Source organism: Homo sapiens, chromosome 17 (assembly GCF_000001405.40).
Source record: "Homo sapiens chromosome 17, GRCh38.p14 Primary Assembly".
NCBI classification, from domain to species: domain Eukaryota; kingdom Metazoa; phylum Chordata; class Mammalia; order Primates; family Hominidae; genus Homo; species Homo sapiens.
The window spans coordinates 19,371,828-19,396,029 of NC_000017.11; the positions used below are offsets into that span (position 1 = coordinate 19,371,828).

Sequence of the window (24,202 nt, forward strand, 5' to 3'; positions counted from 1 at the left end):
TGTGGGCTGTGGGAGAGGCTGCCACAGACATGGGTGTGGGTTGTGGTTTGGCCACTTGGGCTTCCTCCTGGATGCCCCAGCCACACACTGGGTGACTGAACCGGATTACTTGTGGCTGCTGGCACTAATCAGAGAGCTGTGTGTGTGTAAAGAAGGAAAACCTGGTGCAGGGAGTCCTACAAACAGAGGCCCCTCCCACAGTTGAGCCCATTTTGTCACCTGTAACCAGGGACAATGATGCATCACCCGAGTCCCCCTCAGAGAAAGATGAAGGTAGAAACGCTTACACACTGAAGATGCTGCTGGAACACCGCAGGGACTGGGCGGAGCGGGGACAGCGTTAACAAGGGCGGCTGCTGCAGTGTGGGTGAAGGGCCAGACCTTGTGTCAGGTGCCCCTGCAGATATAATTCCTCGAGTCCACAAAACAATGCAACCAGGTGGATCTGAACATCCCCACTTCACAGATGAGGAACTCGAGGTCAGGGCTGTCAGTCTTGGCTACCTGCATGGCCTTGGGGCCCTGCATGGTCTCACCCCTGCCTAACTTTCTCGTCTCCATGTCTCTGTGACCCCCTCCCTCCTGCCACTTCCCTCTGGCCTTCTCGTGGCCCTGAGATGTGCCACACTCTCACCCGCATCAGCTCTGTGTCCTTTGCCCCCACTGTCCCTCTGCTGCCGCATGCTCGTCTATTAGGTCCTGACTTACATGTCACTTCCAGGGCCCCTTCCCGACTTCCTGTGCTGGGCAAAGGGCCCATTCTTAGCTCCCCAGGGCCGGCCCCCCATCTCGGTGCCTGTCACAGATTTCCCTCATCAGAGAAAGCTGGGACTTGTGCTCATGGCTCTGACCCCAGCACACAGCACAGACAAGAAAGGATGCCCCGGCCTCCATGTGACGGAGCTGGATTCAAACCCAGGTGTTTCTGAAACCAAAGCGTGCCTTCGTAAAACTTAAGAGCATGGGATTGGAAGGGAGGCAGTAACATCAGCAGAGCGGCACCCTGCTCGGACAATTCACCTGCGCTCCTCAAAGTTTTTAACCACACCCACTCTTGCGGCAGAGGGGTGCGAACAGTTGGGCACATCTATTATTTCTGCTGACCCACGTCCATCCACCTTCCTGAAAACTCAGGTTTCCTGTGGGGAAATGGCCCTCATCCATACGTGGTCTGAGGAGTTTGGCTGAGCCGGACTCCCTGTGCCACTTCCAGAGGTGGACAGGTGATTCAGGTCTGGCCAATCAGCATACCCCTCCCCTCCCCCACGCTGAGCCTGTCCAATGGGAGGCTACCCTGGAACCCATGCTGGGACTGACAAAAAGGGATGCCCACTGCCGTGATGGATGTCCCTGAAATGAGGGTAAGGTTCTGGGGCTCAGGAAGGTCTCCAGGCTTGGATTAGAGATAATAATTACCATATCACAGATGACTAAAAGAGTCTCAAAGCACATCAGCACCCCCCAACCTGTTCTGCTTCTTGGTTCCTCATTTTGGTGACATCTCCATTGCTAGAAATGGACACTATCACATGTCCTGCATTTACCCCTTTATATACCTCTTTTTTTTACTTTTTTTTTTTTTGAGACAGAGTCTCACTGTGTCACCCAGGCTGGAGTGCAATGGCACCATCTTGGCTCACTGCAACCTCCACCTCCCGAGTTCAAGCAATTCTCCTGCCTCAGCCTCCCGAGCAGCTGGGATTATAGGCGCCTGCCAACATGCCCAGCTAATTTTTGTATTTTGTATTTTTAGCAGAGACAGGGTTTCACCATGTTAGTCAGGCTGGTCTCAAACCCCTGACCTCAGGTGATCCACCTGCCGCGGACTCCCAAAGTGCCAGGATTGAGACACCGCGCCCAGCCTAATTTTTGTATTTTTAGTAGAGACAGGGTTTCATCATGTTGGCCAGGCTGGTCTCAAACTCTTGACCTCAGGTGATCCCCCAGCCTCAGCCTCCTAGAGTGCTGGGATTACAGGCGTGAGTCACCGCACCCAATCCCACGTCTGTCTTTTAATCAAGGCATGCTCTGCCTTCAAGTACACCCTCCATGATGTCTGCCAGAAATACCTTTCAGGAAGGCAGCTCTGAAGGGCATTTGTCTACTCAAAAATCCTAGGTAGACATTTACATTAGTTCAGGGGCTTTTGGTAACCTAAACCAGAAATCTTGAACTCAAATGCCCACTGTGGCCATGCAGGAAACGTGAGCCAAGTGAGTGGAGTATCTGTATATAACACATGAGATTGTCTTTGTTCCCACAAAAAGATATACTTGGTCTTTCTTTTCCTGAAACACATGTCATCTCAGCCTCTTTTGTTTTCCTGCTTTTAATAAGATGTAGAAAACAGTTGTGAAAGCACAATGATAAGTAGCATCTGACCCTCGGCCTGTGCTGGGGAGGCTGTCAGGGAGTGGCAGGGACTGTGGTGAATTAGAGAGCACATGTTCTTTCAATGGCGGGGTCACAGTTCGATGGCTACGTAGAAATGCTGATCTGATTTCCCAAAAGAAAGCAAAAATCAGGATTCTTATGGCAAATCTCCCCATTTTTGACAGGCAAATAATTCCAAGCTTTTAAAAAGCACCGTGTGAGTCATTCTCTCATACCACTGGTGGGTGTCTAAATCAGTATAATCTCTAAGGATAGAAATTTGACATTAGCTACTAAAATTGTAAGAACAATACTCTTTAACTTGACACTCCCACTTCTGGTATTCTTCCTGCATATACACTTGCTGTGTGCAAAATGATGTGTTCAAGAAAATTTATTGCAGCATTGTTTGCAATAGTGAAAAAACTGAACTCATCTAAATGTCTATCTAGGGGGTCTTGGTTAAATAGGTTATATTCGTAAAGGAATATCATGCAGCTGTAAAAATGAGTGCTTTTTTTTTAGATATGACAATAGCACAAGTGACAAAAGACAAAACAGATAACTGGACTTCATCAAAATTAAAAACTTTTGTGGAACAGAGGATGTTATCAAGAAAGTGAAAAGACGATCTGAGAAATGGAAGTAAATATCTGTAAATCATGGGAAGTAAATATCTGTAAATCATCTAATAAGGTAATATCTGTATCTGTAAATCATCTGATAAGGGACTTTTGTTTAGAATATATAAAGAACTCTGACAGCTCAACAATAAAAAGGCAAATAATCCAATTAAAAATGGACAGAGGGCTGATGCGGTGGCTCATGCCTGTAATCCCAGCACTTTGGGAGGCTGACGTAGGCCGATCACTTGAGCTCAGGAGTTCAAGACTAGCCTGGCCAACACAGTGAGACCCTGTCTCTGCTAAAAATACAAAAATTAGCTGAGTGCAATGATGTGTGCCTGTAGTCCTAGCTACTTGAGAGGCTGAGGCAGGAGAATCACTTGAGCTTGGGAGGCGGAGGCTGCAGTGAGCTGAGATCCTACCACCGCACTCTAGCCTGGGCTGGAGTGAAACCCTGTCTCAAAAAGAAAAAAAAAAAAGGTCAAAGGATTTGAATAGATATTGAACAGACATTTCCCCAAAGGAGACAAATGGCCAATAAACCGTGAAAACATCCTTAGTCATTAGGGAAATGCAAATCAAAACTACAATGACGTATCACTTCACACCCACTAGGATGGCTATAATTAAAAAATAATAATAATAATAAGGCTGGGTACTGTGGCTCATGCCTGTAATCCCAGCACTTTGGGAGGCTGAGGCAGGTGGATCACTTGAGGTCAGGAGTTCGAAACCAGCCTGACCATCTCTAATAAAAATATAAAAATTAGCTGGACATGGTGGTGGGGACCTGTAATCCCAACTACTCGGGAAGCTGAGGGAGAAGAATTGCTTGAACCTGGGGTGCAGATGTTGCAGTGAGCCGAGATCGTGCCAGTGCACTCCAGCCTGGGCGATAGAGTGAGACTCAGTATCAGAAAAAGAAAAGAGGTGTTGGTGAGGATGTGGAGAAATCGGAACTCTTAAATATTGCTGGTGAATTTGTAAAATGGTGCAACTGCTGGAGAAAACAGCTTGGCACTTTCTCAAGAAGTTAATAGTTTACCATGTGACCCAGCAATCCCACTCCCAAGAGAAAGGAAAACATGTCCACAAAAAAACTTGTAAACAAATGTTCTCAGAAGCATTATCATAATAGCCAAAAAGTTGAAACAACCCAAATGTTCATAAACTGATGGATAAACAAAATATGGTATATCTAAACAATGCAATATATTTGGCCATAAAAATTAGTGCTAATATGACAACATGAACTTTATGCTAAGTGAAATAAGCCAAACACAAAAGACTACACAGTGTGTGATTCCATTAGTATAGAGCATCCACAATACGCAAGTCCATAGAGACAGAAAGTAGTTCAGTGGTTGCAAGGGCTCTGGTGAAAGAGGAATGAGGAGTGACCGTTAATGGGTATAAACCAAAAATAAAATTAGAAGGCCCTTTGCAACCATCTGAATGGACTCCCTCCTTGGCCAGCACACCCTAAAATTTAACCTGAAAGACTGGTTCAGGCCACGATGGGAGGTGAGAGTTGGACATGCCTTATTATACCCCTCCAACATTAACATCAACACTGACCTTAAGTCTGATAAGAAATATTTGTCTATTCTCTCTATAGCCTGCTACTGGGAGGCTTCAACTGCATAATAAAACCTAGGTCTCCTGGCCAGGTGCAGTGGCTCACGCCTGTAATCCCAGCACTTTGGGAGGCCGGGAGCAGGGGGGCGTGGATGACTTGAGGTCAGGAGTTCGAGACCAGCCAGGCCAACAGGGTGAAACCCCATCTCTACTAAAATACAAAAAAAAAAAAAAAAAAAAAAAAAAAGCCGGGCTTGATGGCTCATGCCTGTGATCCCAGCTATTCGGGAGGCTGAGGCAGGAGACCAGGAGGGGGAGGTTGCAGTGAGCCGAGATCGCACCACTGCACTCCAGCCTGGGCAACAGAGTGAGACTCACTCTTCAAATAAAATAAAATAAAATAAAATAAAATAAAATAAAATAAAATAAAATAAACAACCAAAAAACCCTAGGTCTCCACAACCCCTTATCATAACCCAGATATTCCTTTCTATAGATAATAACTCTTGTAACCAACTGCCAATCAGGATATGTTTAAATCTACCTGTGACTTGGAAGCCCCTCCCCTTTGAGTTGTCCCGCCCTTCCAGAATAGACATTGAACAGACATTTCCCCAAAGGAGACAAATGGCCAATAAGCACATCAAATCAATGTCAATCTTGCATGTATTGACTTATGTATTATGTCTTCCTGAAATGTATAAAGGCTGACTATGCCCCGACCATCTTGGGCACATGTTGTAGGACCTCCTGAGGCTGTCACCACCATGTCCTTAACATTGGCAAAATAAACTTTCTAAATTGACTTGAGACTTGTCTCAGATACTTGGTTCACATAGGTTTCTTTTAGGGGCGATGAAAATGTTCCATAAACCACTCTACCTAAAATTAGGTAGTGATGATGGCTGCTCAACTGTGAATATACCAAAAAACACTGAATTGTACACTATAAAAGGATGAGTTTTATGGTATGTTATTAAAAGTTGTTTAAAAGTGAGGGACCCCTCCAGTTATTGATATGGAATGATCTTCAGGAAAAGAGCATAATATGCTACATTTTTGTACACCAAAGGGGAGGTAGGTACGAATATGCATACATATTGCTTTTTTCTAGAAGCCGCCTAGGAGTGAAACCAAAATTCTTCACTTCTTTTCGGCCCTACCTCGAGCTCCCTTTAGAAAACCTTTCCTTCCAGCTCACAGTATCCACCATGTCCACCTTCGCCTCCCGGCACTGAGCCTTAGAGGGGCGGTGCTCCATAAACATTTGCTACATGAATGAACGAATAAACTATCGGATTTTGGGGTGGGTCGGGACAGCTCGGTTCCAGCGAGGGCTCCGCCCACCCGCGGGCTCCGCAGAGGAGCAGAGGTTGGGCGGCCGCCTCGGTTAACTCCGCTGCAGCCCAAAGCACGGGAATCGCGGGACAGACAAACGAGCGGAGGGAAGATACCTAGAAGCCAGGAAACCGCGAGCTGCAGTCCAACTTGGCCGGAAGCTGCGGAGAGGCTCAGCCACCGGAAGTCAGTGGAGGGTTCGGCCGGACGCTCTAGAATCCCGGAGGACCGGGATCTCTGTGGTTGGCCGTGACGGGCACCCTCTACCGGGGATGACACATTCCCAGAGCTCCTGGGACCAAGCAAATGGCGGACACAATTCCCTGGGCGGAAGGGGACTTCGGGAGCCAGTAGCCAAGGTAACAGTCCCAGACCTGGGCATCTCAGGCCGGGCAGTTCCCCGAGCTCACGGGACTAGCTGTGATTGGCCGGATGAGGTTGAGAGCTTCATGGGGACGCGCGCGCTACGTGCAGGGGCGTTGCCTTCCATTCACTTGGCGCCCGACTGCCAGTGCGCATGCGTTTGAAGGCGGTGCAGGGCGGGGAGCACACCCCTGCGAAGTGCCGGGCACCCTTTGGGCGGCTCCCGCCGGCGAGCTGGACAGCGGCGCGCGCCAGGCGTGGCTTTCTCGGCCGGTGGGCTAGGATTGGACGCAGTAGGTAGAAGGGGCAGGACCCTCCGCAGCAGTAGCTCAGCGATTGGCCAGGAGCTGGAGGGAGCGTGGCCTTGGGAGGCGGGGCGGAGGGGGACGGACAGGGCAGCTCAAGACGCTGAGGTGGTGGCTGCGGCCTTTGAACAAGTAAGTGAGCCACCCTCGGAGACCCCCGCGCTGGGGACGGGAGGCCGGCGAGCCTCGGGACCTCTGAAAGCCTTGAGGAGGCGCGGGGGTGAGTGCGGCCCTGAGGAAACCCAGGTGCCCCGCCCCTCCCTTTCTTCCTGGCCCGCGCCTCGCCTACCCCTCCCCCGACCCTGGCGGGCCCCCGGCTCTGGGCCCGGACCCCTGGGGTAGCTAGTCTGCCACGAACCAGCCGCGCGCTTCTGCCCTTGTCGGTTTAGGAAACTGGGAAGTTCCCTGGTCCTGCTCCCCAGCCCGCAGAGGGGACACTGAGGCCCACGGTAGGTGGTCCTCTCCTCACCCGAGTCTCCACACAGACACCATGGCCGAGCCTCTGAAGGAGGAAGACGGCGAGGACGGCTCTGCGGAGCCCCCCGGGCCCGTGAAGGCCGAACCCGCCCACACCGCTGCCTCTGTAGCGGCCAAGAACCTGGCCCTGCTTAAAGCCCGCTCCTTCGATGTGACCTTTGACGTGGGCGACGAGTACGAGATCATCGAGACCATAGGCAACGGGGCCTATGGAGTGGTGTCCTCCGCCCGCCGCCGCCTCACCGGTGAGCTTCCTGAGCCGTCGCCTCCCAGATGTGGCAGCGTCGCAGGGAGTGGGAAACCGGCCTGTCCCAGACAGCCGGGAAGGAAAGCGGGGTGCGAGTTCTGGCTCCAGTCAACACACACTGACCAGGGCCTTCTGCCTGCCAGGCTCCGGGGAGGCTCGGTTCTCTGAAACTCCGGCCTGGTGGTTTTGCCATCCTGCCTGCCTACTTCCTCCTTAGGAAAATGATAGTCCCAGTTAGACCAGAATGGAGAGCCAGTCCTTCGTGTCTAAGAGAGAAATGTGTTCTGGAGCCAGACACTGGCATAAGGAACTGGTGGTGGGATGGGTGAGGTCTGAGATGGAGAGGGTGTAGGCATAAGAGGCTGAGCTACACCACTGGGCATCCGTGCAACCTCCAACAAGTTACTAAGCCATATTTCCTTCTCTTTAACGTTGACCTATTGGGACCTGCCCCGCAGGGGAGTTGTGAAGGTAACATTTAATAATGTAGGTAACATGCTTAGCACAGGGCTTGGCACATAGTAGGTACCCAATACTTGGTAGCTGTTGTCATTTGCATCCTAGAAGGGAGGTGTTGATAGGGGCTGAGTCGACTCTGCAGTTTCTCCAAGGTATCCTCTGGTATGTCCCTTTTCCCTGCTCCTCAGGCCAGCAGGTGGCCATCAAGAAGATCCCTAATGCTTTCGATGTGGTGACCAATGCCAAGCGGACCCTCAGGGAGCTGAAGATCCTCAAGCACTTTAAACACGACAACATCATCGCCATCAAGGACATCCTGAGGCCCACCGTGCCCTATGGCGAATTCAAATCTGTGTAAGAAGCGGGATGGGAGAGGGAGCCAGACTTGGGACTTTTCTGAAGGCTGCAACCATGTTGCCGAAGTTCTGGAAAGGCAGCTGAATCTAATCTGAAGCAGGCTGGGAAAATTCCCGCAGTTCTAGGACCAGTTCTTTAGAGTTTTGCCAGGGACAACTGTTATTCCTCAAGAAGTGTACAGATGATTTTACAGTTTTATAGAATCTTAGTATATAGGATGTCAAATGTAGGACATTCCTACTATGACCACACCCTCCTATTCCCATAGCAGACTTCACTAATCAATCACAGAACACTTTCCTACAGACAGTGGACAAGCCTGGTCAATTTTCATCATAGTTCTTCAAGCTGCCACTACCAAACAATGGAGATAGCCCCAAAAGGAAACCTATTGGCCAGCCCTGGTGTAGTCCAACCCCATCTTTTATCTGATGGGGAAACTAGGTCTGGAGACAAAAGTGATTTAACCAAGTTCATGGAAAAGTCGTAGAGAATCTAAAACGTGATGCTCTTCTTCCATACCATGCCGTCAGCCCCTATGGGGTCCCAGGGTAAGGCTGTTACCTGTCTGGAATCGGAAGGGTGTGGTGAGGATGGGGCTTGTCCCTGGAGTGTGATCAGGCCAACCCATGCTTCTCTCCTTCCTTCCCCTTCCAGCTACGTGGTCCTGGACCTGATGGAAAGCGACCTGCACCAGATCATCCACTCCTCACAGCCCCTCACACTGGAACACGTGCGCTACTTCCTGTACCAACTGCTGCGGGGCCTGAAGTACATGCACTCGGCTCAGGTCATCCACCGTGACCTGAAGCCCTCCAACCTATTGGTGAATGAGAACTGTGAGCTCAAGATTGGTGACTTTGGTATGGCTCGTGGCCTGTGCACCTCGCCCGCTGAACATCAGTACTTCATGACTGAGTATGTGGCCACGCGCTGGTACCGTGCGCCCGAGCTCATGCTCTCTTTGCATGAGTATACACAGGCTATTGACCTCTGGTCTGTGGGCTGCATCTTTGGTGAGATGCTGGCCCGGCGCCAGCTCTTCCCAGGCAAAAACTATGTACACCAGCTACAGCTCATCATGATGGTGCTGGGTACCCCATCACCAGCCGTGATTCAGGCTGTGGGGGCTGAGAGGGTGCGGGCCTATATCCAGAGCTTGCCACCACGCCAGCCTGTGCCCTGGGAGACAGTGTACCCAGGTGCCGACCGCCAGGCCCTATCACTGCTGGGTCGCATGCTGCGTTTTGAGCCCAGCGCTCGCATCTCAGCAGCTGCTGCCCTTCGCCACCCTTTCCTGGCCAAGTACCATGATCCTGATGATGAGCCTGACTGTGCCCCGCCCTTTGACTTTGCCTTTGACCGCGAAGCCCTCACTCGGGAGCGCATTAAGGAGGCCATTGTGGCTGAAATTGAGGACTTCCATGCAAGGCGTGAGGGCATCCGCCAACAGATCCGCTTCCAGCCTTCTCTACAGCCTGTGGCTAGTGAGCCTGGCTGTCCAGATGTTGAAATGCCCAGTCCCTGGGCTCCCAGTGGGGACTGTGCCATGGAGTCTCCACCACCAGCCCCGCCACCATGCCCCGGCCCTGCACCTGACACCATTGATCTGACCCTGCAGCCACCTCCACCAGTCAGTGAGCCTGCCCCACCAAAGAAAGATGGTGCCATCTCAGACAATACTAAGGCTGCCCTTAAAGCTGCCCTGCTCAAGTCTTTGAGGAGCCGGCTCAGAGGTGCCTTGTGGGCAGGTCGGGTGGGCAGAGGGGAGACTTGGACTTGGACAAGGCTTCAGGCTTTTACCTTCTCCCCTGCCCAACTTCCCCGCAGATGGCCCCAGCGCACCCCTGGAGGCTCCTGAGCCTCGGAAGCCGGTGACAGCCCAGGAGCGCCAGCGGGAGCGGGAGGAGAAGCGGCGGAGGCGGCAAGAACGAGCCAAGGAGCGGGAGAAACGGCGGCAGGAGCGGGAGCGAAAGGAACGGGGGGCTGGGGCCTCTGGGGGCCCCTCCACTGACCCCTTGGCTGGACTAGTGCTCAGTGACAATGACAGAAGCCTGTTGGAACGCTGGACTCGAATGGCCCGGCCCGCAGCCCCAGCCCTCACCTCTGTGCCGGCCCCTGCCCCAGCGCCAACGCCAACCCCAACCCCAGTCCAACCTACCAGTCCTCCTCCTGGCCCTGTAGCCCAGCCCACTGGCCCGCAACCACAATCTGCGGGCTCTACCTCTGGCCCTGTACCCCAGCCTGCCTGCCCACCCCCTGGCCCTGCACCCCACCCCACTGGCCCTCCTGGGCCCATCCCTGTCCCCGCGCCACCCCAGATTGCCACCTCCACCAGCCTCCTGGCTGCCCAGTCACTTGTGCCACCCCCTGGGCTGCCTGGCTCCAGCACCCCAGGAGTTTTGCCTTACTTCCCACCTGGCCTGCCGCCCCCAGACGCCGGGGGAGCCCCTCAGTCTTCCATGTCAGAGTCACCTGATGTCAACCTTGTGACCCAGCAGCTATCTAAGTCACAGGTGAGAGGGAGGCCCAGGCCATGGGGACACCTGGGTCTGGGCCAAAGGAAAATGGGTTCAGGAAGCGGTCAGTGTTCCACAAAAACTGAGCAGCAGATGGGGCTTTATCTCTGAACGTGTCCTCTTGCTCACAGAAGGAGCATAATGGCAATGAAGAGGTTGTTAGGAGACAAGTTAAATATGGCCTGCAAAGTGCCTAGCCCAGAGATGGGGCCAGCCAGCACTCACTGACTGCCGAGACTGGTGTTAGCACTCCCAGATATCCAGGCGGAGTAGTCAGCAGCATTGGGACAGGGTGGCCTACAGACCTCAGTCTGTCTGCATTGTAACCTGTCATTCCCTGCAGGTGGAGGACCCCCTGCCCCCTGTGTTCTCAGGCACACCAAAGGGCAGTGGGGCTGGCTACGGTGTTGGCTTTGACCTGGAGGAATTCTTAAACCAGTCTTTCGACATGGGCGTGGCTGATGGGCCACAGGATGGGTAAGGTGGCTGGACTGAGCTCCTAGACTGGGACTGTGGGGAGAGGTTCCTGGTGCAGGAGACATGCACCTGTGGGATGGGTGAGGGTCCAGCCTAGGCTAATAGCACCCCTCCCTTTCCTTCCCCTGCAGCCAGGCAGATTCAGCCTCTCTCTCAGCCTCCCTGCTTGCTGACTGGCTCGAAGGCCATGGCATGAACCCTGCCGATATTGAGTCCCTGCAGCGTGAGATCCAGATGGACTCCCCAATGCTGCTGGCTGACCTGCCTGACCTCCAGGACCCCTGAGGCCCCCAGCCTGTGCCTTGCTGCCACAGTAGACCTAGTTCCAGGATCCATGGGAGCATTCTCAAAGGCTTTAGCCCTGGACCCAGCAGGTGAGGCTCGGCTTGGATTATTCTGCAGGTTCATCTCAGACCCACCTTTCAGCCTTAAGCAGCCACCTGAGCCACCACCGAGCCATGGCAGGATCGGGAGACCCCAACTCCCCCTGAACAATCCTTTTCAGTATTATATTTTTATTATTATTATGTTATTATTACACTGTCTTTTTGCCATCAAAATGAGGCCTGTGAAATACAAGGTTCCCTTCTGCACCTGACTCCAGGTGTAATTTTTGGAGTTCGGGGTAGGACACCATCAGCAGGGGAGCAAGGAGGAGCCAGGTGCCTACATTTGGGGGATAAACAAATATGTTTGTGTGTATGAAGCCAGTTCATTCAGGTTCTGAAGGTTTATTGAGACCTTCAGTCCCTACCCACTCCCAGCCCTGCAGAGATTGTCCTCTGCTCCCTCATGTGGCTAAACCTCTCAACACCCAGAGGGTATGGGGAAGACCTCATATGCATGCCTACCTTGGCTGTGGCTGTTTCAGGGTGGTGTGCGGTAGCTGTGTTCTTGGCATAGAGCTTCAGGGGCTGGGATGGGCCATCAGGGGAAGCTGAGTATGATAGTGAGGTGGGCTGGGGTTCCACGGTACTCACCACAGGGGAGTAAGTTGGTGGGAGGGATGCTGAAGATGGGACATGGTTTGAGAGCAGCCCAGAGGAGTGCTGGGCTGTGGCCTAGAATACACCATGGGCCCTGTTCACACTGCACTGCTCAGCTTAGCACACTAGGGTGGCCCAGACAGGGGTCCACAGTGAGGAAGCAGGACAAGATGGACCACAAAGGCCTGCAGCTGGGAGAGTGGCTCCTGGCTGTCAGCTGTTGGGACAGGTTGGAGGCAACTCATTCTCATGGAGCCCAGCCAGGTCCAGGCTAGAACCATGTGCCTCTCGGAAGAGGCCTGGGGAACTGCTGGCAGTGTAACTTCAGGTGTAGGGGAGCCGGGTCTGGCTTAGGAATGGATGCCCTGGGTGTGTGACAGGGATGTGGCATGGCTGAGAGCCACAAGGCCCCCTTGTAAGGAGTTGGTGCTCGGGAATCAGCAGAAGCATGCATCAGGGGCAGCAGAGGGAGCACTCATGGAGACCATGGGTGTCCAGGGGAGGAAAGGTGCCTGAGGGGGCCAGCCCTTCAGGCCCGGCGGATTTTCATCTCAGTGCGTTTGAGGGAGTAGTAGAAGCCCTTCCACTGGGCCCAGTTGATGCCATTGGCATAAGAGAGGTGGGAGCCACCTAGGTAGAAGCCATTGAGGTTGGCAAAGTGGCAGCTGCGGAACCAGAAGGCTCCTGAGGAGAGAGCTGCGCAGTTCTGCACAAAGAGGTCCTGGTCCCGGTCGAAGGTAGAGAACTTCTGGCCACTGTGGTAGGACAGGGAGTCACCTGGCAGAGGAGAGAAGGGTTGGGGCTGCTGAGGCAGGGAACTGAGCCCCGAGCTGGCCGGGAGAGGGTGACAATGACGACTGTGAGAGATATCACGTGGCAGCCTGGCGGGATGGGGGCACCCTCCCTGAGCCAGATGTTGGGTTGATGTGCTTCTGCAATGAAGAGAAACAGCTGCTCCACCACAGAGTTGCCTGGAGCAGGGCCAGGATGGCTGCTCCCCAGGGCTGAGGCCCAAGCTGGTTTGAGCTTGTTTGGAGCCAGCTGTGGCCCTTCCAGATCCAGAAGGGTTGAAGGAGGGGCCTGAAGGAGGTTGGGGCTGACTGGGCAGGGCCAGCCCTGCCTTCTTTCCCCTCACAGCCCCTCCCAAAGCTAACAGCGGGTTATACCTGCCCCGCCATCCTCAAAGCCTGCCACAAAGAGGGTGTAGCCATCCTCCTCTGCGCTGACCGCGTTCGGGGAGATGGAGAAGTCAGCGTACTTGGCATAGGCCGTGTTGTTCTCAAAGTCCTCCAAGTCCACTCGCAGCTCATACTTCTGCTTCAGTGTCAGGAGGTGCATGTTCTGCAGCCCTGGGGAGGAGGGGCAGCTGGTCAACAAGGACCTGGCCCTGGGGCAGCCCCTCAGCCCACCTGGTCCCTGCCTTACCCAGCCAGTACTCTCCATCAGCACGGCCGAAGCCCAGCTTGTAGTCATTCCAGCCGCGGAAGAAACTTACTGAGCCATTGAATCTCTTCTGGAAAACCTGGAGCAGAGAAGATGAGACTGGATCATCAAGGGTCCAATGGGCAAGGTTCTGGTCCTGCCCTGCCCACCTCAAGCATGGACCCTGTGATGCTGTGGCCAGTTTGTTAAAGGACTGGGTTGGGGGTGGGGAGGGTGGTGGGAGTGGGGTTGCTAAAACAACGTCCACATTGGCACCAGGCCCCCTGTGGAGCAGTTGCCAGCACCCACCTGGGCTCTTCATACCCAGTTTCGTATAGAGGCAGGAAAGAGGCTAAGAGGGAGGCGTTCTAGAGTTCGAGTGCCTAGCTGTGGGATCTGGGCAAGTTACTTCACCTCTCTGGGCTTTAGTTCCTCACTACTTCCCAGGATTATTGTGAGGCTTATGTGCATTAACCTACCTCAGCTGGGCGCGGTGGCTCACGCCTGTTATCTCAGCACTTTGGGAGGCTGAGGCGGGCGGATCACCTGAGGTCAGGAGTTCAAGGCCAGCTTGGCCAACATGGTGAAACCTCATCTCTACTAAAAATAAAAAAATTAGCTGGGCATGGTGGCACATGCCTGTAATCCCAGCTACTCGGGAGCCTGAGGCAGGAGAATCTTTTGAACCTGGGAGGTGGAGTTTCCAGCAGTGAGCTGAGATGGAGCCACTGCACTCAAGCCTGGATGACAGAGTGAGGCTCCGCCTCAAAACAAACAAACAAACACCTACCTCAGGCACTTAGAATTAAGCGTTGGCAGCTGCTCAGAAGCTGTGCTGTGGGTATCATTATCCCCATTTTAAAGATGAAGAAACTGAGGTTCGCATATGTGAAGCCCAGGGTCACAGGGCTGGGATTAGAACCAGCTCTGGCCTCTGTTCCCTCCTCCCACTCACCGTCCACTTCCCGCCCTCGGTGGTCATGTCACAGAAGACGGGCACAGGCACACTGGGGCCCGAGGGGTAGATGAGGTACACGCCGTCTGACTGGTAGCCCTGGGCATAGATGTCGTCACAGTCCAGGGGTTGCTGAAGGCAAAACCTCTCCAGAGCTGGGGGTAGGGACATGGGGACAGTGAGGAGAGTGGGACTATGGCATCACTGACACCTCAGCACCCCAAGGTTTGCCTCAGTCCCTGGGGCTGGGGGACTTTGACACAAGGAGTCATGGAAGATTTCTTCAAGGGAGATGAGCAATGCTTATGTCATCCATCTGCCCCATTTTGTAAAGGAGGAACCTGAGTCCTGCAGAGCTGGGGCTCGGCCCTGACAGTCTGTTCTGACAGTCCAGCCTCTTCTTGCACAACCTGTGGGCCAGGCCGCGTCTGTGAGTGTGGGGCTGCTTACCATCTCCTCGGATCCCGGAGACCTGGGGGGCACACGGGGGCGTGGAGAGAAGCAGCAGCAGCGGCAGGGCCAGGAGTGCCTGGCGATGGGCAGACAGGGTCAGCACAGCCCCTTCCCAGCTCCAGAGATCCCCTGTTCTCTTTGCATTTGCCCCCACCATGCATGCACATACTGCCCTTGCCTGAATCCCTCTCCTGCTATTTGGCCCCTCTTCCCTGCCCCCCCACCCCGCCCGCCAAGTAACCCCACTCTCTGGGACGCTGTGTACCCTCATAGCTTACGAGTTTCAAGAGAACTCCTTGTGCCTTCATAGTGCCCTCTGTGGCCAGGGGCCTCTGGAGTGGGCTCAGTTCCCCCATGCTATGAGTCCCCCGACCCTGGGCCCCGTACCTTCATGCTGTCAGTTCTGCTCAGAGTGGCTGGGTGTCTGCGGCCCCAGACTGCAACCGCCCAGAGTTATGCGCTGGGCCCCCGCCAGCCGCCCCAGCCCCGCCCCCCTTCCCGTAGCTGCAGAACCCCCCTCTCCCCACCCCAGACAACCAGCATCAGTTTACACTATCAGGGGGCTGGGAGGTGGGGCTGGAGCCAGGGGACCACCTGTGTCTCATTAGTCCTGTCGGGCAAAGTACTGCAGACGTTAACTCCCTGCTGGCTCCAACTGTTCCCTGGATCCCACTCCATCCGCTATCCGCCATCTGCCACCCACCCTGCTAGACCTGTGGGCCCCCTGGCGCCCCCAGGCAGCCCCAGCCCGCCGCAGCCTGCCCCCTACTTCCTGATGGGCCCCCCTGCAGATGTCTGTTTATTCTTTCCCCTCCTTCCCTGGCCTGTGTTTCATCAGCCATTGAGGGGGAGGGCTGAGGGAGAGTGGGGGTGTCATATGCCTGGCTTCTGGGGACGGGAGGCCTGCTCTGGGGGAGCAGAAGGCTGAGGGGACAGTTTCAGAGCTCCTGATGTGGGAGCCTGGCTGGGGCTGGTGGGGGGACAGAGGCAGCAGTTTCTTGGCAGGCCTGGGACATTTCTGAGCCATGAGCACAAGGCTGCTGGCGTCCAACTGCTCTGTCTGCCCCAGCTCAGGCCAGGGCCCCTCTCCAGTCCCCCTCCCCAGCCCCCCTCACTCTGGCCACCTCAGGCCCACTCTTTTCCCCTCCCACAGTTCCCTGGCCCATCTGGCTCACATGCAATAGGTATGGGACCTCTTTTGTTTCTCCTCACTCCACCCCTCCTTTCTTCTTCCAAACCCTTCACTTTGGCTCCCACACCTCCCAGATTCATCTGAATCTCCCTACTTCTGGGCTCTCTCCTCCTATCCTTGGCACACTACCAGGAGAGTTGTTCTAGATGGCCTCTCAGATTATGTCACCCTGCTTAAAGCCTCATGGCTCCCTATTGCCTCAGGGCTGAGGCTAGGTTTCTCACCTTGGACATGAAAGGAATTTCAAGTCTGTCTCTGGCCTACCTTGAGGACCTTGTCCCTTATTGCTGTGACTCATAAACTACAGTGCAGCCACTCCAGACTTTTCACCATGGAGGTCCCCACTCTTTTGTGCTGCTCCTTGTGGTGCCCGCTCATCTGCCTCCTTTTGTTGGCCATAAGGGCCAGTGAGCAGGGTGTGTGTCTCATTTCTGCATGCTCAGTGCCCATCACAGAGCCTGGCACAGAGTAGGCTTGATATGTACATGCACAGTCACTTACGTATTTATATCTATATATAGATAAGATACTAGAGTCAGGGCCTTGCCCTGTTGCCCAAGTGCAATCATAGCTCACTGCAGCCTCAAGCTCCTGGGCTCAAGTGATCCTCCCACCTCAGCCTCCTAAGGAGCTAGGACTACAGGTGTGCCACCACACCCAGCTAATTTTTTAATTTTTTTGTAGAGATGGGGGGGGTCTCCCTATGTTGCCCAGGCTGGTCTTGAACTGGCCTCAAATGTTCTTCCCACCTTAGTCTCCCAAGAAGCTGGGACTACAGGGCCAGCACACCTGGCTCACAGATATCTTTTGAGCGCTGTGTGCTATAGGCTATGCTGGCTGCTGAGGATACAGTATCTGCCCCACAAGGAGTGGCAAGCACAGGTTTTGGACAGTGAATTGCAAATGTAAGGTGTATTACAAAAGGACATTTGTGTTGAATGGATGAACAGATGAAATATTCAAAGGCAAAGTGATGAGGCAGCTCTGGCTTAGGTCCCATCTCTCCACTCCTGAGTCAATAGATAAGCCCCTTGGCAAAGCCCCAGTTGGCCTCCCTGACTTGGTTCTGTGATTGCCTCTATTCATAGTTGTGTCTTGTGTCAGGCTACCTCAGTTCAAATCTAGATTCTGTTGCCTGTTAGCTGGGTGACCTTGCAAAAATTACCTAGTCTCTCTGTGCCTTGGTTTCCTCCTCTGTAAAATGAGGATAGTCATAGTATCTACTTCATAGGGGTGTGGTAAGGATTAAGTAATACATATCAAGTTCCTAAAACAGTGCCTACAAATGGCAGCTATTTAGTAAATATTAGCTATCGTCATCGTCATCATAAACATCATGATTCTCATATGAATGGGTTGTCTTCAACACAGCTTGTATGCTTGCCTGTGGAAGAGACAGTTGGCTGGCTCTCAATACTCGTTCTTCCCTTAGTCCTCAGTAGTAAGATCCTGATTTTTATCTGGGCTCATTGTCCAGCCTCCCTTGTAGCTAGGTGAGGTCACACATCTGAATTTTGGCCAACAAGATGCCAACAGGTATGTTGTAAAGGTAGGTGGCTTGTCCCTCTTCATCCTGCCCTCTGTCCTGCTGGATGTGATGGCTGGAGCTCTAGCTGCCACCTTGGACAGTGGGGATGAGGAAGATGAGGCCTCATCAGGGAATGGCAGAGGAGGAACTGGCAAAGCCTCTCACGACTTTGTGGAGTCGGTACAAAAACAGCCCTGGACTGCCCTCCTCTAGGCCTTTTTTATGCAGGAGAGAAAGAAACTTCTATGTATTTTAAGTGTCTGTTGTTTTTTTTTCTGTTACACACAGCTGAATCTAATCCTGATCTCTTCTTTCAGCAAATGCCAGCTAATTTTAACACAAGTCTATAAAAGGGAAAATAATGAAAAAAAATCAGTTATCAAAACAAATACTAAAATGGTCCAAAGTCAAGTATTGAAGACTTTTGGAGAATACCACTAATGAGCAAACATAGAAACTCCTTCTCCCCCTAGAAAAGAGAGAATTAAGATACGAGGTATCAATTACATTTTGCCAATTAGTTTTTACTTAAAAAATGCAATAATGTGTGTGGGTGCAGCAAAGCAGGCACTGTGTTCACTGGATGTGGCTGGAAATTAGTTTAACTTTTGTGGTAAAGAAATTTGGTAATAACATGCCCAGAGTCGGTAATCCTTCTAAGGTGTTGTCTGGAGGAAATACTCTGACATGTTGAAGAGGCTACAGATACAGCTGGGGGACATTACTTGTTGGCTGCCCAGCATGGGAAACCTCTTCCCACATTTGGGGTGTTCCTCTCCTAACTAGAATGCTGGGTGTTCACATTTCCAGGGTTCCTTGCAGTTTGATTGAAGGCACATGGCCTTGGTTTAGCTGATAAAATGCACGGTCCTGGGCTTCATTTTGGGAGAAAGTGATTTGAGAAGCAGAAGCAGGAAGAATCCATTCCTGGGGCGATGGTGACCCCAGTGCTGTCTGGGTCCTAGTTTCTCTGGGTGGTTGGTGGTGGCTTGGCAAGCACAGTGCTGAGTGACACTGGCTTAGGCTTAGGCTGCAAAGCCCTGAGCTTGGTTCTCAGCCCTCCCAGTGATCAGTTTGCTCTGCCTGCTGATGTTTTTGAAAGAGACCCCCAACTCACATGCATAAAGATGTTTGTGTCTAGATTCTGTCATTGCCAACAACAGACACTAACTCTGACTTTGTTGGGAGGCTTTGCTGGGAGTCTAGACTAGGGGTGGGTGGGAGCTGAGGCTGCCCTGGGCTCTGGAAAGCAGGCCCTCAGTGGGGGTCCTGTGGTGGGACAATGTTGGGTTGATGCTGCTCAATGCACATGGCTATGGCTTTGTCTGTCTGCCAGATTCCAGGAGTGAGGAGGGTCCATCCCATTGGCCTTGCTTGGGTAATTTTATGCATCCCTTGGCAAGGGGAGTGCAGTTGGACACCTTTCATTTGCCTCCCCACCTTTCTCCCTACTGCCCTGGGCCCCGGAAGGCCAGCCTCACCCTCTGGTTTCTGATTGGGTCCAGCCAATGAGGAGCTTATCAGGATTCAGCGGGAAGGAGAATGAAGTAGGAATATTCATTCCCCTCCTTGTAGAGTCCCCACACACTGGTTTTGTTTCTCAGCCAACAGTCTCAAGTCCTGCCAGGTAGCCATCTCCATACAGCCTCCTGACTCACTGTGGGTGACTCCTTCCTCCTCTGCCCGCTTCAGGTCTAGGGGTGTTGACAGCCCTGGTGTTACCAGCCCAGAGATAGGGGGCCATCTCCTGCTTACACCTCAGCAAATAGTCCTTTTATTAAATGCTACTCAAATTGTCCTAACCTGAGTGTTACTTGATGGAAACTGGACTGATTCAGGGAGAGAGGCATCCCTGACTATAATACAGAAAACGAGTGTGAGACTAGGAGGAGAAGTGGCTGCAAGTGTACAAAAAAGTCTCCACTAAATACCCTCTGTAATAGTCATTGTAATGTATGCTGTAATATTGTCAAACCCAGATGGCTCAGTAAAAACAGATGACCCCCTGTGCTTCCTCGATGTCATTTTGGTAAGACATTTGCTCAAGTTGGTATGGCTTCCGCCCCTGGGTTAGGCCTGTGCTGGTTGTTCTCTGCGTTCCCTGATCCACCCACATCCTCCTCTGTGCCTGGTGTGGGGGCTGCCCTGTAGGGAGGACATCGCTGGGTTTCCATGGCCCCTGGCTTCCAGCTGGGTTTGACTAATGGGAGACACCAGCAGGAGATGGGAGAAGAGAGAGGTTGAAGTATTTCTCCCAGCTCCTGTCCTGATGAGCACTGCAGTTTTGGCCGTAGCTGTGCCCGCTGTCCCTCCCGCCCCTCCCCCCCACCTCCTGATGACATCTCCTGCCATAACCTCCCTCACTGTCTCCAGTAACCCTGTTTCCTCCCCTTGCCCCTTAGGCTGGGATGATGAGGGCTGTCATCCTTGCTAGCCCCAGGATGCCTCAATGCCCCATGTTGGTTTTCTTAATGTTCACACCCAAGTAAATAGTCCCTTCATTAAATTCTCTGAATTAAAAAAAAAAAACCCAAACAGCTGAGTTCACCCTTTGTTTCCTGAGAGGACCCTGACTGACTCAAGGTCTTACTTTGGTTTCCTCTAAAAGCACAGCAGCCTGTGGAGTGGAGCATTTTCTGTTGTTTTGGACAACAGCTAAGGACAAGACCCCTATTCTCTCTGCAGGTGCAGACACCTCCCTGTGTGTCTTGCTGGCAGGCAGCTAGACTGCTCCTTTATCCACCCTCCTGTATCCGGAGCTAGAGAAGCCTGAGGAGAGTTTTTGAAGGAAACTCATCAAAGCAGAGAGCACCTAGGGAGAAGAGATGGTGGGTCCCCCCAACCCAGGCCAAGCAAAGGGGCTCCAAGAAAGAGGAGCTGTGTGCCAGAAGGACAGACTTGGGTTGACAGGCTGAGCTGCCCAAACCCAAGGGCCCTTTCCCAGAGGCCGCTGCTGCAGCAAAGTGAGAACGACTGTTTGGAAGACGGGTGAAGCCTAGGGCTACCCGAGTTGGAGAGGAGAGGGGGCAGGGGCTCGCACAGTCATCATTTGGCAGGACACAGATGTGGTGTTCCGAGTGGGTGCTGTGGAATATGAGGTCAGATTGGAATCAGGCCCATCCTCGTAACCTCATTTTACCTTAACTACCTCTTTAAAGGCTGTATCTCCAAATATAGTTGCATTCCAAGGTAGTGCATGGTACAGCTTCAGTGTGAATGTTGGGGTACACGATTCATCCCATAACAAGCATCTTAGAAGCACCAGGCACTCTTTAACCCTTTATAGGCAACCGTGCACAAGACAGAATCTCCAGCCCTCCTGGAGCTACAGAAGAGAAAGAAAAGTAAAGTGAAATGATAAGTACTATGAAAAATGAAGCAGGAAGGTAGCAGGAGTGGGGCCAAAGTTTGGAACAGGGCATGTCCAGAAGGCCGTAGTGTGGAGATGGTAATGGCAAACTCTGTGTCCAAGGGCAGACACAGACATTTTGTGGTGGGGAACACTCTGTCTTATTTCTGTAACATGGGGGAAGGTTTTAGGAGGGATTTAGTGTCTCTCCCCACCTTTTTATAGTTTGGGACAAGATCAGTTGATGGAGCTCAGGATGTGGCAGAGAGAAGAGGCAGATTAGAGATGGGGAGGGTGTTGAATGTAGGCTAAAACATTTGAACTTGATCCCAAGGGCCTTTGGGATTAGGGTATATTGAGATAATGTAACTTAGGTTCCTGATTTTACTTTGATGTGTAGATGCTACATAACTGGGGAGAAAGCATACAGATTAGAGGTCTTTTTGTGTTTAAATAAACAAATGCATGTGTATAATTGGGATAAGAGGGGTACTTGGAGGCCGTTTATGGAGAAACAGCAGTCCCTAGCCCTGTGTTTGATGAGTCCTGGGGTTGAGTCTTTCATTGTGCTGGCCAGCGAGTGGAGGTTTGTTTCCTTCAGTTCTGAGAAAATTCTTTTCTATTACTTCTTTGGCTATTTCTTTCCTCCCTTTTCTCTGTTCTGTTTGTGATAATTTTATTAGTTGGATATTGAATCTCTTAAATTGATCCTGTATTATATATTTCCCTAAAAATCCTCTGTGCTCTGCCAACCATCTCTTCCTCCCCCTAACCCCCTGGCAACTACTGAACTTTTTAGTGTCTCCATAATTTTATCTTTTCCAGAATGTCATATAGCTGTAATCATATAATAATTTGTAGCCTTTTCAGATTGGCTTCTTTCACTTAGCAATATGCATTTAAGTTTCCTGCATGTCTTCTCACGGTGTGTTAGCTTACTTCTTTTCAACACTGAATAATATGCAATTGTCTGGATGTACCACAGTTTATTTATCCATTCACTTAATAAAGGACATGTTGGTTGCTTCCAGGTTTGGGTGATTATGAATAAAGCTGCTATAAACATCTGTGTACAGGTTTTGTGTGGACATACATTTTCAACTCACTTGGGTAAATACCAAGGAGCATGATTGCTGGATCATATGGTAAGACTATGTTTAGTTTTGTGAAAAACTGCCAAACTATCTTCTGAAGTATCTGTACCATTTTATATTCCTACCAGCAATGAATGATTGCTGTTCCATATCTTTGCCAGCATTTAGTATTGTCGTTATTTTTTACTTTTAGTCTTATATGTATGTAATGATGTCTTGTGATTTTAATTTGAATTATTTAATAGCAAACGATGTTGAACATCTTTTCATGTGCTTGTTTGCCATCTGTATATCTTTTTCAGTGAAAAATCTGTTCATGTCTTTTGCCCATGTTCTTTTATTTTTGAGACAGGGGCTTGCTCTGTCACCCAGGCTGGGTGTAGTGATGCAATCTCAGCTCACTGCAGCCTCAACCTCCTAGGTTCAGGCCATCCTCCCACCTCAGCCTCCCAAGTAGCTGGGACTACAGGCGTGTGCCACCATGCTTGTCTAATTTTTGTATATTTTTTAGAGACGTGGTTTTGCCATGTTGCCCAGGCTGGTCTCTAACTCCTGGACTCAAGCAATCCTCTGGCCTCAGCCTCCCAACGTGCTGGGATTACAGGCATGAGCCACTGCACCCGCTCCCCCAACCCATGTTCTAATTGGACAATTTGCTTTTTTACTGCTGGAGTTTTGAGAGACCTTTATGTATTCTAGATACTAGTGCATTGTCAGCTATGTGGTTTGCAAATATTTTTACCCATTCTGTGGCTTGTCTTTTTATCCTCTTAACAGGGCCAGTCTTTTATAGAGCAAACATTTTAAATTTTGATTAAGTTGAATTAATCAACTTTAATGGATTGTGTTTTTGGTATTATATCTAGCAACTTTTTGCCTAGTCCTAGGTCCCAAAGATCTTCTATTTTTTTCTAGTTTTATAATTTTACATTTAAGTTGGTGATCCACTTTGAGTTAATATTTATAGAAGTCAAGTTCTTTTTTTCCCCCTTCTTTTTGTAGATTCCTTAGGATTTTCTACATAGATAATTAGGTCATCTGCAAATAGGGGAAAGTTTATTTCATCCTTTCCTATTTGTATATCTGTTATCTCCTTTTCTGGTCTTACTGCACTGGCTAGAATTTCTAATCCTGTGTTGAATAAGAATGATGAGAGCAGATATTGCCTCGTTCCTGATTTTAGCAAAAAAGCATCCAAGGCCAGGTGCGGTGGCTCACGCCTGTAATCCCAACACTTTGGGAGGCTGAGGTGGGAGGATCACTTGAGCCCAGGAGATTGAGGCTGCAGTGAGCTGTGATTGCACCACTACACTCCAGCCACGGTGACAGAGTCAGACCCTGTCTCAAAAAAAAAGAAAGCAAGCATTCAGTCTTTCACTGTTAGGAATAATGTTACCTGTAGGTTTTTTGTAGATGCTCTTTATCAAGTTGAGAAATTTCCCCTGTATTCCTACTTTTCTGACAATTTATCATTCATGGGGTGTTGAATTTTTTCAAATACTTTTTCCACATTGATTGATATAATCCTATGGGTTTTCTTCTTTAGCCTATTCACTTGGTGGGTTATATTGATTGATTTTCAAATATCGAACCAATCTCTCATTTCTAGAATAAATTACACTTGGTCATAGTGTAGAATTATTTTTATATTGCTGAATTCTATTTGGTAATATTCTGTTAAGAATTTTTGCACCTATTCATGAGGAATATTAGTCTGAACTTTTTTTTAAGTACCATCTTTGGTTTTGATACAGGGTCATAATAGCTTTGTAATGAATTGGGAAGTATTTCCTTCTCTTTCCTTCCGTTTTCTGGAAGATATTTTATATAACTAGTTTTAATTCTTTTTTTTGTTTGTTTTTTTGAAATAGGATCTTACTCTGTCACCCAGACTGGAGTGCAGTGGTGTGATCATGGCTTCCTGCAGCCTCACCCTCCTGGGCTCAAGCAATCCTCCGTCCTTGGCCTCCCAAAGTGCTGGGATTATCGGCATGAGCCACTGAGCCTGGCCCTGTGTTAATTCTTTTGTAAAAGTTTGGTAGAATTCTTCAGGGAAATCACGTGGGGCTGGAGATTTTTTTTTTTTCCTGAGAAATATTGTGAT

At 51.0% G+C, this 24,202-nt stretch overlaps 3 protein-coding genes across 26 annotated transcripts in view, besides 12 other annotated features; 1 reads left to right on the forward strand and 2 right to left on the reverse strand.

The window, feature by feature from the left end:
* Nucleotides 1–6,086, reverse strand: part of B9D1 (B9 domain containing 1) — a 43,219-nt gene extending 37,133 nt beyond the window's left edge. For all 9 annotated transcript variants that reach the window (NM_001368769.2, XM_047435756.1, XM_047435750.1 and 6 more), the window contains exon 1: nt 6,032–6,086. The gene's annotated coding sequence lies outside the window, so the exon portion shown is untranslated. The remainder of the gene's footprint in view (nt 1–6,031) is intronic.
* Nucleotides 809–1,358: an enhancer, noted in NCBI's record as "H3K4me1 hESC enhancer chr17:19275949-19276498 (GRCh37/hg19 assembly coordinates)". NCBI's record gives its function as "activates a minimal SCP1, AML or CMV promoter by ChIP-STARR-seq in primed H9 embryonic stem cells {active_cell/tissue: H9 hESC(primed)}" and the evidence as "EXISTENCE:reporter gene assay evidence [ECO:0000049][PMID:30033119]".
* Nucleotides 5,747–5,796: a silencer, noted in NCBI's record as "silent region_8290". NCBI's record gives its function as "represses an Ori minimal core promoter by ATAC-STARR-seq in GM12878 lymphoblastoid cells {active_cell/tissue: GM12878}" and the evidence as "EXISTENCE:reporter gene assay evidence [ECO:0000049][PMID:35858748]".
* Nucleotides 5,923–11,717, forward strand: MAPK7 (mitogen-activated protein kinase 7). 15 transcript variants are annotated; one of them, XM_006721558.4, is made up of 8 exons: nt 5,923–6,274; nt 7,069–7,305; nt 7,955–8,120; nt 8,657–8,674; nt 8,781–9,859; nt 9,954–10,639; nt 10,986–11,119; nt 11,251–11,717. In XM_006721558.4, the coding sequence occupies exons 2-8, from the start codon at nt 7,074–7,076 to the stop codon at nt 11,402–11,404; spliced, it is 2,469 nt and encodes an 822-aa protein (XP_006721621.1). In that variant the 5' UTR covers nt 5,923–6,274; nt 7,069–7,073; the 3' UTR covers nt 11,405–11,717. The 15 variants fall into 15 exon arrangements, with proteins under 15 accessions (XP_006721621.1, NP_620602.2, NP_620601.1 ...); XM_047436402.1 differs by lacking the exon at nt 5,923–6,274 and adding an exon at nt 6,671–6,803 and having other exon boundaries at nt 6,973–7,305; XM_006721557.4 differs by lacking the exon at nt 5,923–6,274 and adding an exon at nt 6,671–6,803.
* Nucleotides 6,067–6,296: an enhancer, noted in NCBI's record as "active region_11858". NCBI's record gives its function as "activates an Ori minimal core promoter by ATAC-STARR-seq in GM12878 lymphoblastoid cells {active_cell/tissue: GM12878}" and the evidence as "EXISTENCE:reporter gene assay evidence [ECO:0000049][PMID:35858748]".
* Nucleotides 6,507–6,566: a silencer, noted in NCBI's record as "silent region_8291". NCBI's record gives its function as "represses an Ori minimal core promoter by ATAC-STARR-seq in GM12878 lymphoblastoid cells {active_cell/tissue: GM12878}" and the evidence as "EXISTENCE:reporter gene assay evidence [ECO:0000049][PMID:35858748]".
* Nucleotides 6,637–6,896: a silencer, noted in NCBI's record as "silent region_8292". NCBI's record gives its function as "represses an Ori minimal core promoter by ATAC-STARR-seq in GM12878 lymphoblastoid cells {active_cell/tissue: GM12878}" and the evidence as "EXISTENCE:reporter gene assay evidence [ECO:0000049][PMID:35858748]".
* Nucleotides 8,634–9,596: an enhancer, noted in NCBI's record as "H3K4me1 hESC enhancer chr17:19283774-19284736 (GRCh37/hg19 assembly coordinates)". NCBI's record gives its function as "activates a minimal SCP1, AML or CMV promoter by ChIP-STARR-seq in naive H9 embryonic stem cells {active_cell/tissue: H9 hESC(naive)}" and the evidence as "EXISTENCE:reporter gene assay evidence [ECO:0000049][PMID:30033119]".
* Nucleotides 10,842–11,342: an enhancer, noted in NCBI's record as "H3K4me1 hESC enhancer chr17:19285982-19286482 (GRCh37/hg19 assembly coordinates)". NCBI's record gives its function as "activates a minimal SCP1, AML or CMV promoter by ChIP-STARR-seq in naive H9 embryonic stem cells {active_cell/tissue: H9 hESC(naive)}" and the evidence as "EXISTENCE:reporter gene assay evidence [ECO:0000049][PMID:30033119]".
* Nucleotides 11,343–11,843: an enhancer, noted in NCBI's record as "H3K4me1 hESC enhancer chr17:19286483-19286983 (GRCh37/hg19 assembly coordinates)". NCBI's record gives its function as "activates a minimal SCP1, AML or CMV promoter by ChIP-STARR-seq in naive H9 embryonic stem cells {active_cell/tissue: H9 hESC(naive)}" and the evidence as "EXISTENCE:reporter gene assay evidence [ECO:0000049][PMID:30033119]".
* On the reverse strand, nt 11,618–15,363 carry MFAP4 (microfibril associated protein 4). 2 transcript variants are annotated; one of them, NM_002404.3, is made up of 6 exons: nt 15,323–15,363; nt 14,933–15,011; nt 14,483–14,637; nt 13,531–13,627; nt 13,272–13,454; nt 11,618–12,882 (listed from the first exon to the last, which is right to left on the reverse strand). In NM_002404.3, the coding sequence occupies exons 1-6, from the start codon at nt 15,326–15,328 to the stop codon at nt 12,635–12,637; spliced, it is 768 nt and encodes a 255-aa protein (NP_002395.1). In that variant the 5' UTR covers nt 15,329–15,363; the 3' UTR covers nt 11,618–12,634. The 2 variants fall into 2 exon arrangements, with proteins under 2 accessions (NP_002395.1, NP_001185624.1); NM_001198695.2 differs by having other exon boundaries at nt 15,214–15,363.
* Nucleotides 13,651–14,196: an enhancer, noted in NCBI's record as "H3K4me1 hESC enhancer chr17:19288791-19289336 (GRCh37/hg19 assembly coordinates)". NCBI's record gives its function as "activates a minimal SCP1, AML or CMV promoter by ChIP-STARR-seq in primed H9 embryonic stem cells {active_cell/tissue: H9 hESC(primed)}" and the evidence as "EXISTENCE:reporter gene assay evidence [ECO:0000049][PMID:30033119]".
* Nucleotides 14,197–14,742: an enhancer, noted in NCBI's record as "H3K4me1 hESC enhancer chr17:19289337-19289882 (GRCh37/hg19 assembly coordinates)". NCBI's record gives its function as "activates a minimal SCP1, AML or CMV promoter by ChIP-STARR-seq in primed H9 embryonic stem cells {active_cell/tissue: H9 hESC(primed)}" and the evidence as "EXISTENCE:reporter gene assay evidence [ECO:0000049][PMID:30033119]".
* Nucleotides 14,743–15,288: an enhancer, noted in NCBI's record as "H3K4me1 hESC enhancer chr17:19289883-19290428 (GRCh37/hg19 assembly coordinates)". NCBI's record gives its function as "activates a minimal SCP1, AML or CMV promoter by ChIP-STARR-seq in primed H9 embryonic stem cells {active_cell/tissue: H9 hESC(primed)}" and the evidence as "EXISTENCE:reporter gene assay evidence [ECO:0000049][PMID:30033119]".
* Nucleotides 19,279–20,192: an enhancer, noted in NCBI's record as "H3K4me1 hESC enhancer chr17:19294419-19295332 (GRCh37/hg19 assembly coordinates)". NCBI's record gives its function as "activates a minimal SCP1, AML or CMV promoter by ChIP-STARR-seq in primed H9 embryonic stem cells {active_cell/tissue: H9 hESC(primed)}" and the evidence as "EXISTENCE:reporter gene assay evidence [ECO:0000049][PMID:30033119]".

Excerpts from the sequence above, each read along its gene's own strand:
- MAPK7 (XM_006721558.4), top strand. The coding sequence starts at position 7,074 with ATGGCCGAGCCTCTGAAGGAGGAAGACGGCGAGGACGGCTCTGCGGAG. Across the intron at positions 7,306-7,954 it reads CGCCCGCCGCCGCCTCACCG|GCCAGCAGGTGGCCATCAAG; the intron begins GTGAGCTTCCTG and ends CCTGCTCCTCAG. Across the intron at positions 11,120-11,250 it reads GCTGATGGGCCACAGGATGG|CCAGGCAGATTCAGCCTCTC; the intron begins GTAAGGTGGCTG and ends CTTCCCCTGCAG.
- MFAP4 (NM_001198695.2), bottom strand. The coding sequence starts at position 15,291 with ATGGGGGAACTGAGCCCACTCCAGAGGCCCCTGGCCACAGAGGGCACT. Across the intron at positions 14,638-14,932 it reads CTCCGGGATCCGAGGAGATG|CTCTGGAGAGGTTTTGCCTT; the intron begins GTAAGCAGCCCC and ends CCCTACCCCCAG. Across the intron at positions 13,628-14,482 it reads CCGAGGGCGGGAAGTGGACG|GTTTTCCAGAAGAGATTCAA; the intron begins GTGAGTGGGAGG and ends TCTCTGCTCCAG.